At 36.4% G+C, this 13,123-nt stretch overlaps 2 annotated features.

The window, feature by feature from the left end:
* Window positions 11,906–12,514: an enhancer, noted in NCBI's record as "OCT4-NANOG-H3K27ac hESC enhancer chr11:56426970-56427578 (GRCh37/hg19 assembly coordinates)". NCBI's record gives its function as "activates a minimal SCP1, AML or CMV promoter by ChIP-STARR-seq in primed H9 embryonic stem cells {active_cell/tissue: H9 hESC(primed)}" and the evidence as "EXISTENCE:reporter gene assay evidence [ECO:0000049][PMID:30033119]".
* Window positions 12,515–13,123: an enhancer, noted in NCBI's record as "OCT4-NANOG-H3K27ac hESC enhancer chr11:56427579-56428187 (GRCh37/hg19 assembly coordinates)". NCBI's record gives its function as "activates a minimal SCP1, AML or CMV promoter by ChIP-STARR-seq in primed H9 embryonic stem cells {active_cell/tissue: H9 hESC(primed)}" and the evidence as "EXISTENCE:reporter gene assay evidence [ECO:0000049][PMID:30033119]".

A 13,123-nucleotide genomic window follows, 5' to 3' on the forward strand; every position in this document is an offset into this window, starting at 1 on the left:
CTTGGAGGAAAAATGCAGTAGGTTCCTGTCAATTCAGAGTCTCAAACATAACTAGTAAATGAGACGATTTATTCAATAAATAAATAAGTAATCGCAATAAGTGTAAATCAGTTGTTATATGAGAACAATGTGTGATGATTTAAGTGAGATTAAGGTTTGTGCAATTACAGTATGGAAGGAGGTTGGAAGAAAGATCATATGGCATAAGGGGGTCAGTGGTAAGGGACATAGAATATCAAGATTTTAGGTAATAATGGAGTGGTAGAATGAGACTTCTAGGCATAAAGGAGTAATTAGGACCTGGACAGGTTAGGTTGTAGGACCTAATCAGCCCCAGGCTATAAAGAGCTTCAAAACAAGAAGATAACTCAACAAGTGTCATCAAAGAGGCACCAGATGATGGTATATCTCCCTGCCACTACAATGAGAACAAATCAGGAGTCAGGATGAAATGAAATCTCTATGAAGAATTTGAAGAATTCACACTGGTAACAGAATTTTGAGCTCAGTACTGTAAAGAGTGAATCACTGACAGTTAAGTTGCAAAGAACATTTTACAAAGAACCAAGGGACCCCCACAGGCCAATAACCAAGCAACAAGCATTTATCGGGCAACTAATAGAAGAAATGAAGACTAATAAAGATGTGACCTCCACTCCAGAGAGCTTACACATTAACATGTATCATGAATAATGTGAGAACCTGTTCAGTCAGACCTTTCCCTAGTCATAGAAGAAGAGACTGGGCTAAGAGATAATAGCAGCTAACATTTACTGGGCATGTCCTGCTTGCCATGTGCCCCCCTAAACACATGTGTTTTCTGATACATGCATTCCCCATCACAAATAAGTAAGTTGGGCCTTGAAAAGGAACTTGTCTAAATAGTTAATTCAGATCAGAAATGGGATTCAAACAGTTTTTTTCATACTCCAGAATGTGTATTGCTAACCATTATGTGTTTCTGCAGTTCAAAGGCAGCAAAGATTTTGTGAAAAAAAAAAAAATCCTTCTGTTTTAAATATGGATAATGCATAAACCACAATAACGACTAATGGCTTATTTTATGTGCTCTGGGCAATATTGGCAACCTCCGGAGTAGTATCTTGATGACAGTAGTTGCTGAGAGAGTGAATTATAGGTATTAGGAGTGGAAAGGTGGAGTGGCTAAATTTCTAACAGCAAATTTTATCATCCCTTAGTTAAGAATTACTTAATGTCAGATGCCTACAACTTAAAGGCAATCGCAGTGGAGGTGATTTTTTCTTTTGGAGACATTATGGAAATTTTGGGCTGTCATAGTGACAGAGGGATATACTGTAGAATCTAGTGAGTGGGAGGCAAAAATACAAAAAGCCTGCAAGCTATAAGATAGTCCCAAACAACAAAAATTGCCCATTCCCCCTGGAATTTTTAAGTATCCTGATAGTTATAATGCACTTGATACAATTGTCTAAGCCTTTTAGATAGATCTACCTCCATTTTACATGTAAACACATTTTACATATAAATATGAATATTGTTGCATGATTTTTTATGTAACAAACTTGCCATAAATGCATCTATTAAGTAACTCTAGGGGAATAAATGGTTTGGAGCTTTACTAAGAGCTGTTCATCCTTTCAGAAATTTACGTCCTCAGTTGTAAGATAGCAAAACTGCTTGAGGTGCTTATAGGACAAACTTGTACCAGCCTGCATTTTTTAATAGTCACATTTATGGAGATTTCATATACATACAAGCATCTGCCTTTTCATTATGTAGTTATGCCTGACCAGTTAGTAACTAAAATAAGCATTAATTTGTTTACTATCAATTACTTTCCTTTTATTTTTTCTCTTTAAATTATGCATGTAGGGAAATAATAGTTTCTGAGAATGTCATAGCTCTTTCAGGAGCATAGAAGGGTCAAGATAAAATACTTGCTATAAAAAGATGGCATTGGGTCCAAAAGGTTATAGAATCACTGTTACAGAGGAGGTTTACGTGCCAGTCTCCAGCCATTAACACGGTTCCATCCAAATAGATTTTATGTCACCTGGCCAAACCAAGAAGAGGAATTCCCTTCTTAGGCCTTATAAATTTACTTTATCCTAAAGAAAGCTTTTTTAATCTAGTATAAAGTATGGCTATATTCCACTATGCAGCCATAAAAAAGAATGTCCTTTGCAGGGGCATGGATGAAGCTGGTAACCGTCATTCTCAGGAAACTAACACAGAAACAGAAAAACACCGCATGTTCTCACTCATAAGTGGGCGTTGAACAATGAGAATGCACAGACACAGGGAGGGGAATATCACACACCAGGGCCCATTGGGGGTTTGGGGGCAAGGGGAGGGAGAACATTAGCACAAATACCTAATGCGTGCGGGGCTTAAAACCTAGACGACAGGTTGATAGGTGCAGCAAACCAACATGGCACATGTATACCTATGTAACAAACCTGCACGTTCTGTACATGTACCCCAGAACTTAAAGTAAAATCTTAAAAAATGTATGGCTATATTCCAACACACCAAACATTAAATACTACTACTGCTACTGCCACTACTAGTACAAGAGAAAGAGCTTAGTAAATTAGCAAAATGTAAAATTGATCTAATAGCCTTCATATAAGCCAGCAAATCTCCAATTAGAACATTTAAATGGAAGAGAAGATTCCCATTTATGATTTTCAAACATAAAATACCTATTAACCAAATGAGAAATATGCAAAAACGTCTGTGAGAAAAACTGTAAAACTCCGGAAAGATACAAAAGTAGACTTGAGCACATATGAAGACATATGTGCTCTTAGATAGCAAGATTGGAGTGCCTAAAGGTGTCAGTTGTCCAAAAGTTAATTCATAAATTTTACATTGTTCCAATACCTTTCCCTAAATATGTTGACTATAAAGTTTATATGGAAGATTTAAAAAAAAATTCTAATATAGCAATGAAAACCCTTTTAAAGGAGAACAAATGGAAATGGGGCTAGACCTAGCTACTGGTATAAAATATATCAGGAAGCTTGTATAATTAAAACCATGTATTATTGATAAATGGTTTGTGTAAATGTAGCAAATAAACAGAAAATAGGAAAAATAAAGATAAAGACCCAATGAAATGAAAGTAAGATTCAATACGTAATAACAGCACCCCAAAACATTGGAGGAAAAGTAAATTTTTAAATAAATGCCATTTAGACAGTTGTATAGTCTTATGGAAAATATAAAATTTGATTTTTTTTCTTTTACCATACACTGTCAAAATGTTAACAAATCAAATTATAAAGACAAAAAATTAAGCCATACAAGTATTAAAATCAACACGATGAATTATTTAATAATTGATGTGAATTTGAATATAAATAGGACTCAAAATCCAGATATGACAAAATTAAAAATTGATAAGTTTGGCAACATGAAGGAAAAAGAAAGGAAGGAAAGAAAAAAAACCTGTTGTATGGTAATAAATATCTTAACCAAAATCAGAAGATAAATGATAAAGTGGAGAAAAGGTATACCTTATACACCAGGCCAAATAAATGTCTCCCATATATAAAGAATACCTAAAAGCTATGAAGAGAAAGATTAATAAAAACATCAAAAAGCCAGAAGAAATGTGCACTGATAAAATTAGACACACAAAAACAGAAATGCAAATAAATGTCCCTTTAATATTTTTAAAAGTTCCATCTTTTTAATGGCCAGGATCCAGTCAGGAGACAGAAAACCACACAGTAATTCTAACAGACAAAATTTAATATAGAGAATTATCACCTGGTAGCAGTAAATTAATTATCGAGTGATTGAGAAAAGTCTCAAGTAAACAGGAAGAATAGATACAGAGCAGCCACTGCCTCTAGAGCTGAAGCAGAACATCCACAGTAGGAAAAAACAAACAAACAAACTAGAAGACCCCCACCCCTCCTTTACGGCTCCTTCTGATGTGGTTGTACTGGGTGTTGCTGTGTCCTGCTACATGGCAGGGGCATTCCTTGGCCAGGCCTAGCAAGCAAGAAAGCACCCAGTAGGGTTAATTTACCATGTCCAGGTGCAGTAGGACCAAAGCGGGGCAAAGATGGGTAAGTTTGGAGTTGAAAGACAGAAAAAGTTATGAGTAGAACAATATTTATTCCTAACAAGAAAAAATACAAATTACAACTAGCTTCTAAGAACATTTTCCACCTTTAAGATCAGCAAAAACAGAGATAGAGGATAGACAGACAGATAGATAGATAAATGAGAGAGAGAGAAAGAGAGAAATGATAGATAGATAGAGGTAAATTTAGATGGGAAATACAAACCTAGACAATAAACTTTACTGGAAAGACCAGGGGAAAGAAGCACACATGCATTGCTTGAGGAGATTTGGCCACATTTAGCAAAACTGCCTATTACATTTCCCTTTCACCCAATAATCCCTCTTCTAAGAAACCAACCTAGTGATATACTGGACAAAGTAGGGAAAAGCATATGCAGTTAGCTATTTATCATTGCATTTTTTCCTAATAGCAAGATTTCGATACCAACTCAAATGTCTAGGAACAGATACCTGATAGACAATGGTATATCCACACAATGGATTATTATGAAGCTGCAAAAATGAAAGAATGATTTTTATATGCTGACATAGAGTAAGTTACAGAATATGTGAAAAATTTAAAAATCAATCTGCAATATGGTATAAATGACAACATGTATATAAGAAGTGGAAAATATAAATATATATATATGCATCACTTATACTTCAGAAGTAAATAATACATATGTGAATAGAAAAAGATGAAATGGCTAGACTGAGGGAAGTTATGGAGTAAAGAAAACAGGGGTATAAATAAGACTCCTGTATGTGTCACTATTGTAAAATTTTGACTTGGAAAACACGTAAATGTTTGCTTTACTTAAAAAGTAAAAAACGAAAAGACCCAAAAGTTGACTTGAAAACTAACATCTAAAAATATGCGATTATGTCAATGTTATTAGGAATTAAGTAGTTATCAGAAAAAAAGATTCAGGAATAAAGACAAAAACTAATAAACAACTTTGTAGGTTTAAAATTTGTGTTTAGCTGGGCGCGGTGGCTCACGCCTGTAATACCAGCACTTTGGGAGGCCGAGGCCGGTGTATCAGGAGGTCAGGAGATTGAGACCATCCTGGCTAACACGGTGAAACCCCGTATCTACTAAAAAATACAAAAAATTACCCAGGCCTGGTGGCGGGCGCTTGTTGTCCCAGCTACTCGGGAGGCTGAGGCAGGAGAATGGCGTGAGCCCAGGAGGCGGAGCCTGCAGTGAGCCGAGATCGCACCACTGCACTTCAGCCTGGGCAACAGAGCGAGACTCCGTCTCAAAAAATAAAAATTAAAATTAAAAAATTTTTTTAAATTGTGTTTAGAAACAACAGTATGAACCCACGTGCTACATACATGTGTAATTCATGTGTGTATGTATATACACATCATGCACACACATACACATGTAAGTATTCCCGCTGTCCACTGAAAAGTTCCATTCCATTTTCTTTCATTCTAATCTAGATTGTTATTCACTTGGAATAGTGAAATTCAATAATTGAAGTGTTTTTCCTTTATGTCTATGAGCGTACGTTGAAGGATCTTATGAGATCCTAAGCAAACTCTTGATTGTATTTTCTCTAGGAAATTAATTGAGGATATTTTTCAGTGCATCACACAGTAAACTCTATGTGAGGACGCATAGAAGAAATGCCTCTCAAGTCAAATAGCATTTCCTAAGTGGTTTTCAATTGTACAGGCAATGAGAATCTTAAAACTGCTCTTTTTTCCTAGTGTTTTTGTTCTTTTGTGTTTGCTTCACAATGGAAATTTGGAACAAATTTGTATGTTACCTCTTGAAATTTACAAAAAAATGCATAAAAATTTTTACTCACTTAATCCCATTTTTTGGTTTAATATTTGAATCTTATCTTTCCTTCATTCTATTTTCCTCAAGAATATATACGATGAGATCAAAAATGAAAACTTTTGTCAAGGTGCCCTAAATTCTTTCCTTGGGTGAGAATCTTAGCCCTGTGGATGTTGATCTTCTCATCCTTCTTATAAAAGGAGTAAAAGCATGAATGTGATACACAGATGGGTGTTTTTGTTCTATCTACCTCACTAAGCTGTGTAACCCTAGAAATGGGAAGTAACTCTCAGTCACTCACTTTATCTATAAAGAAGAAATTCACTAATTTTATCTGAAACCAGAGACATTAGCCCCAAAACATTCAATTGATCACATGTGTGAAGCAGCCCTACAGCATCTCTAGTGAATAAAAGTTCTTTAAAAATGTTAATTTCCTTTCGCTGTCCACAAAAATAGGCTCTCAAACAAGATTAAATCTTATTAATTTGTCTTACAATGTTCAATTCCAGATGTATGTCCCTATGCCAGATTCATATACATTTTTTTAATTAGAAATAACTTTTCATGTATTTGTTCTTTAATAATTATAGCAATACATAATGTTTTAGTAATTATTTATGGAAGTAAGTTATTTATAATTTTTTCAAGTTACTAAAGAGAATGTTACTAGATATTAGAACAGCCTCACATGTGATAGGATAGAGCGCTCCTCCAGAAATTACCCTAAGATGTCATTTTCCACAATTTTTTTTGTTGTTGTTAATGACCAAGGAGTAAGAAAGACTGCAAATTTGTCTCCAGTTCCCTAGAGTGTTTATTATAGATCTTCATTAAAGATCTTGTATTTATAGATGCCTCCACACTGTTAAATATCTAAAACTTTTTTTATTTATGGATGTCTCCACACTGTTAAATAGCTGAAATTTTCAACTGTTCTCTCGTCCATCTGATTGAAAAAGAGTGGATTCTATAGGTTCCTTCATTTGTAGAAAGATGATTTATGCTTTCCTAGCAATGAACAATATAGAACATCTCCTCCAACGTCCATATACTCAATATTCTCTTAGTAAAAACTGAGATTCTAGGAAAAAAGTTGATAGCCAGAAGCAGCTGGCATTGTCTTGTCCCACCAGTTCATCCTCGAGAAACATCAATGCTTAGTTGTCTATAGTGATTATTACTGACATTACTAACAAATCCCCACTTTAGTGTATGTTTTGTATACCTACAGCTTTTCTGGTTGACACTTTTCTAGTGTTTGTTTCTGACGAGGTCTGGCTCTGTAACCCAGGCTGAAATGCAATGGCACAATCTCAGTTCACTGCAGCCTTGACTTCCTGGACTCCAGTGATCCTCCCATCTCAGCCCCCCGAGTAACTGGAGACCGCAGGTGGACACCACTATGCCCAGCTAATTTTTGTATTTTTCTGGTAGAGTCAGGGTTTCACCATGTTGTCTAGACTGGTCTTGAATCCTGGGTTCAACTGATCCTTGCATCCCAGCCTCCCAAAGTGCTAGGATTATAGACGTGAGCCACTGCACTGGGCCTTTAGCTGTTTCTTATCTATTTTCTTTTTTTTATATACTTTAAGTTTTAGGGTACATGTGCACAACATGCAGGTTTGTTACATATGTATACATTTGCCATGTTGGTGTGCGGCACCCAGTAACTCGTCATTTAATGTTAGGTATATTTCCTAATGCTATCCCTCCCCCGTCCCCCGACCCCACAACAGTCCCAGGTGTGTAATGTTCCCCTTCCTGTGTCCATGTGTTCTCATTGTTCAATTCCCACCTATGAGTGAGAACATGTGGTGTTTGGTTTTTGGTCCTCACGATAGTTTGCTGAGAATGATGGTTTCCAGCTTCATCCATGTCCCTACAAAGTACATGAACTCATCATTTTTTATGGCTGCATAGTATTCCATGGTGTATATGTGTCACATTTTCTTAATCCAATCTATCATTGTTGGACATTTGGGTTGGTTCCAAGTCTTTGCTATTGTGAATAGTGCCACAATAAACATATGTGTGCATGTGTCTTCATAGCAGCATGATTTATAATCCTTTGGGTATATATCCAGTAATGGGATGGCTGGGTCAAATGGTATTTCTAGTTCTAGATCCCTGAGGAATTGCCACACTGTCTTCCACAATGGTTGAACTAGTTTACAGTCCCACCAAAGGTGTAAAAGTGTTCCTATTTCTCCACATCCTCTCCAGCACCTGTTGTTTCCTGACTTTTTAATGATGACCATTCTAACTGGTGTGAGATGATATCTTATTGTGGTTTTGATTTGCATTTCTCTGATGGCCAGTGATGATGAGCATTTTTTCATGTGTTTGTTGGCGGGATAAATGTCTTCTTCTGAGAATTGTCTGTTCATATCCTTCACCCACTTTTTGATGGGATTGTTTGTTTTCTTCTTGTAAATTTGCTTGAGTTCATTGTAGATTCTGGATATTAGCCCTTTGTCAGATGAGTAGATTGCAAAAATTTTCTCCCATTCTGTAGGCTGCCTGTTCACTCTTATGGTAGTTTCTTTCGCTGTGCAGAAGCTCTTTAGTTTAACTAGATCCCATTTGTCAATTTTGGCTTCTGTTGCCATTGCTTCTGGTGTTTAGACATGAAGTCTTTGCCCATGCCTATGTCCTGAATGGTATTGCCTAGGTTTTCTTCTAGGGTTTTTATGGTTTTAGGCTTAACATTTAAGTCTTTAACCCATCTTGAATTAATTTTTGTATAAGGTGTAAGGGGATCCAGTTTCAGCTTTCTACATCTGGCTAGCCAGTTTTCCCAGCACCATTTATTAAATAGGAAATCCTTTCCCCATTTCTTGTTTTTCTCAGGTTTATCAAAGATCAGATAGTTGTAGATATGCGGCATTATTTCTGAGGGCTCTGTTCTGTTCCATTGGTCTATATCTCTGTTTTGGTACCAGTACCATGCTGTTTTGGTTACTGTAGCCTTGTAGTATAGTTTGAAGTCAGGTAGTGTGATGCCTCCAGCTTTGTTCTTTTGGCTTAGGATTGACTTGGCAATGCAGGCTCTTTTTTGGTTCCATATGAACTTTAAAGTAGTTTTCTCCAATTCTGTGAAGAAAGGCATTGGTAGCTTCATGGGGATGGCACTGAATCTATAAATTACCTTGTGCAGTATGGCCATTTTTATGATATTGATTATTCCTACCCATGAGCATGGAATGTTCTTCCATTGGTTTGTATCCTCTTTTATTTCATTGAGCAGTGGTTTGTAGTTCTCCTTGAAGAGGTCCTTCACGTCCTTGTAAGTTGGATTCCTAGGTATTTTATTCTCTTTGAAGCAACTGTGAATGGAAGTTCACTCATGATTTGGCTCTGTTATTGGTGTATAAGAATGTTTCTGATTTTTGCACATTGATTTTGTATCCTTAGACTTTGCTAAAGTTGCTTATCAGCTTAAGGAGATTTTGGGCTGAGATGATGGGGTTTTCTAGATATACAATCATATCATCTGCAAACAGGGGCAATTTGACTTCCTCTTTTCCTAATTGAATGCCCTTTATTACCTTCTCCTGCCTGATTGCCCTGGCCAGAACTTCCAACACTATGTTGAATAGGAGTGGTGAGAGAGGGCATCCCTGTCTTGTGCCAGTTTTCAAAGGAAATGCTTCCAGTTTTTGCCCATTCAGTATGATATTGGCTGTGGGTTTGTCATAGATAGTTCTTATTATTTTGAGATATGTCTCATCAATTCCAAATTTATTGAGAGTTTTTAGCATGAAGTTTGTTGAATTTTAAAGGCCTTTTCTGCATCTATTGAGATAATCATGTGGTTTTTGTCATTGGTTCTGTTTATATGTTGGATTTGCATTTACTGATTTGCATATGTTGAACCAGCCTTGCATCCCAGGGATAAAGTCCACTTGATCATGGTGGACAAGCTTTTTGATGTGCTGCTGGATTCGGTTTGCCAGTATTTTATTGAGGATTTTTGCATCGATGTTCATCAGGGATATTGGTCTAAAATTCTCTTTTTTTTTTGTTGTGTCTCTGCCAGGCTTTGGTATCAGGATGATGCTGGCCTCATAAAATGAGTTAGGGAGGATTCCCTCTTTTTCTATTGATTGGAATAGTTTCAAAAGGAATGGGACCAGCTCCTCCTTGTACTTCTGGTAGAATTCAGCTGTGAATCCATCTGGTCCTGGACTTTTTTTGGTTGGTAAGATATTAATCATTGCCTCAATTTCAGAGCCTGTTGTTGGTCTATTCAGAGATCAACTTCTTCCTGGTTTAGTCTTGGGAGGGCGTATGTGTCGAGGAATTTAACCATTTCTTCTAGATTTTCTAGTTTATTTGCATAGAGGTGTTTATAGTATTCTCTGATGGTAGTTTGTGTTTCTGTGGGATTAGTGGTGATATCCCCTTTATCATTTTTTATTGTGTCTATTTGATTCTTCTCTCTTTTCTTCTTTATTAGTCTTGCTAGTGGTCTATCAATTTTGTTGATCTTTTCAAAAAACCAGCTCCTGGATTCATTGATTTTTTGAAGGGTTTTTTGTTTCTCTATCTCCTTCAGTTCTGCTCTGATCTTAGTTATTTCTTGCCTTCTGCTAGCTTTTGAATGTGTTTGCTCTTGCTTCTCTAGTTCTTTTAATGATGACGTTAGAGTGTCAATTTTAGATCTTTCCTGCTTTCTCTTATGGACATTTAGTGCTATAAATTTCCCTTTACACACTGTTTTAAATGTGTCCCAGAGATTCTGGTATGTTGTGTCTTTTTTCTCATTGGTTTCAAAGAACATCTTTATTTCTGCCTTCATTTTGTAATGTACCCAGTAGTCATTCAGGAGCAGGTTGTTCAGTTTCCATGTAGTTGAGTGATTTTGAGTGAGTTTCTTAATCCTGATTTCTAGTTTGATTGCACTGTGGTCTGAGAGACAGTTTGTTATAATTTCTGTTCTTTTACATTTGCTGAGGAGTGCTTTACTTCCAACTATGTGGTCAGTTTTGGAATAGGTGTGGTGTGGTGCTGAAGAGAATGTATATTCTGTTGATTTGGGGTGGAGAGTTCTGTAGATGTTTATCAGGTCCACTTGGTGTAGAGCTGAGTTCAATTCCCGGGTATCCTTGTTAACTTTCTGTCTCGTTGATCTGTCTAATGTTGACAGTGGGGTGTTAAAGTCTCCCATTATTATTGTGTGGGAGTCTATGTCTCTTTGTAGGTCTCTAAGGACTTGCTTTATGAATATGGGTGCTCCTGTATTGGGTTCATATATATTTAGGATAGTTAGCTCTTCCTGTTGAATTGATCCCTTTACCATTATGTAATGGCCTTCTTTGTCTCTTTTGATCTTTGTTGGTTTAAAGTCTGTTTTATCAGTTCAAAGAACCCTGTCAGTGCCTCAGCAAAAAGAAAAGCCTGAGTGAAATTTCAATGATCCTTTTTCATTTTGATTAGAAACAGAAAGAAGTTCTTCAATCTGCTAGTGAATGAAATCAAAAATTCCTCTTTGCCAAAGGAAGCACCTGAAGTTTCTTTTATGTAAAAATTAAAAGAAAATATAAACTAATTGTGTCTGTTTTTTAATTTTTAAGGTCAGGGTACATGTGCAGGTTTGTTACGTAGGTAAACTTAAATCACAAGTATTTGTTGTACAGATTATTTCATCAGCCAGATGATAAGCCGAGTATCCTTTAGTTATTTTTCTTGATCCTCTCCCTTCTCCCACCCTCCATCAGGGTGTGTTGTTCCCCTCTATGGGTCCATGTGTTCTCATCATTTAGCTCCCACTTATAAGTGAGAACATGTGGTATTTGGTGCTCTGTCCCTGCGTTAGTTTGCTAAGGATATTGGCCTGCAGTTTATGGAAAATGACCGGAAACACCAGAAAGTTCATGGTGACAGGTATATAGAACTCTGAATTACTGCTTTTTAATTTATGCTTCTTCATTTTCTTCATAGGTAAATGTTGGTTTCTCCAAGGAACTTCAATAAGACTTTGTTTGTGGTAGCTCTTTTATGCCACCTGAAATTATTTTTAAAAAGCTTTACTGAGTTATAAATGATACACAGATAACTACACATATTTTATGTGTACAATTTGTTGAATTTAGACATAAGCAAACACCCATGATATCAACACCACGATCAAGGTAATAGAAATATCTAACACCACCCAGGATTTCCCTGTGTTCTTTTATTTTTGTTTTTAATTAGAAATAACTCTGTATTTATTTCTTTCTAAGCATTATAGCAATACATATATGTCAGTTCATAAAACACAGAAAGTAACCTCTTTCAAATGACTTTCAGGCACCATCAAAAAGACTTTTCTCAACTACTCCCTAATTCTCATTATGTAGGCATCTTTGGGTTGCACAAAACACCCCATGCAGTGCTTCTCACTAAGTCAATCATCACTAGAATGCTTTACAAAATTCCCCTGCGTTTCCTTCTTTTATCATTCAATTTGAAGGAGAAGAGAGTGAAATTCCTTGGAGGATCACAGTTCATCAAACCTTTGTGTTTCCTGTGAGTGCATAAAGTACTTCTGGGAATTGTTTGTGACACTTAAATACCTCCTGCACACAGGAGTGAGGGTGGGATGAGCTAGTAGCTCAGACAACAACCAGATTGATTCACCGTGTTTCGATTCTTCTCAGAATATATCTTTGGTACAACCCATCAAAGAAGGGGAACACTCAACCTCTCACCAACAGGTAGAAAGCAGGTCAGGACATAGGTCTGAATGTAGAAAGCGATGTGACCTGTTGGGGGGAGTGTTATGCTGCCCAGTGCCCCTTTGAGCATGGGTTATTCTTGGCACAAGGTCCCTGCCATTTTAGCATTTCAAAAAAAGACAAAACCATGAGTTTGGCTTTTAGGATATCTCGTTACAAGTATAAATTCAAAAAATGCTAGGAATGGAAGATTCTACAGAGTTTGTATTCGCCACCCCATCTGTATTACAGATAAGGAAGGTGCATCTAATGTGTCAATTTACTGAGATCAAACAATTTATTCTTTAAAAAACATAGGACTATAACCAGGATCTCCAGACTCTTGCTCCACTATTCTTTTCATATGAACTTGAAAAAGCAAGTGATACATAGAAATCTAAAGTACATTTTTCCTTTATTTCCATAACAGAATACTTGTGCTGGTCTTTTGTTAAATATTTGAGTTTATTATTAACAAAGAAATATGCTTATTTGCTGAATATTCTACCGTTTCTTTAAGAGTCTAATGGGCTGAACGTTGGCTACATGGGACCA

This window comes from Homo sapiens, chromosome 11, assembly GCF_000001405.40.
Source record: "Homo sapiens chromosome 11, GRCh38.p14 Primary Assembly".
NCBI lineage: Eukaryota > Metazoa > Chordata > Mammalia > Primates > Hominidae > Homo > Homo sapiens.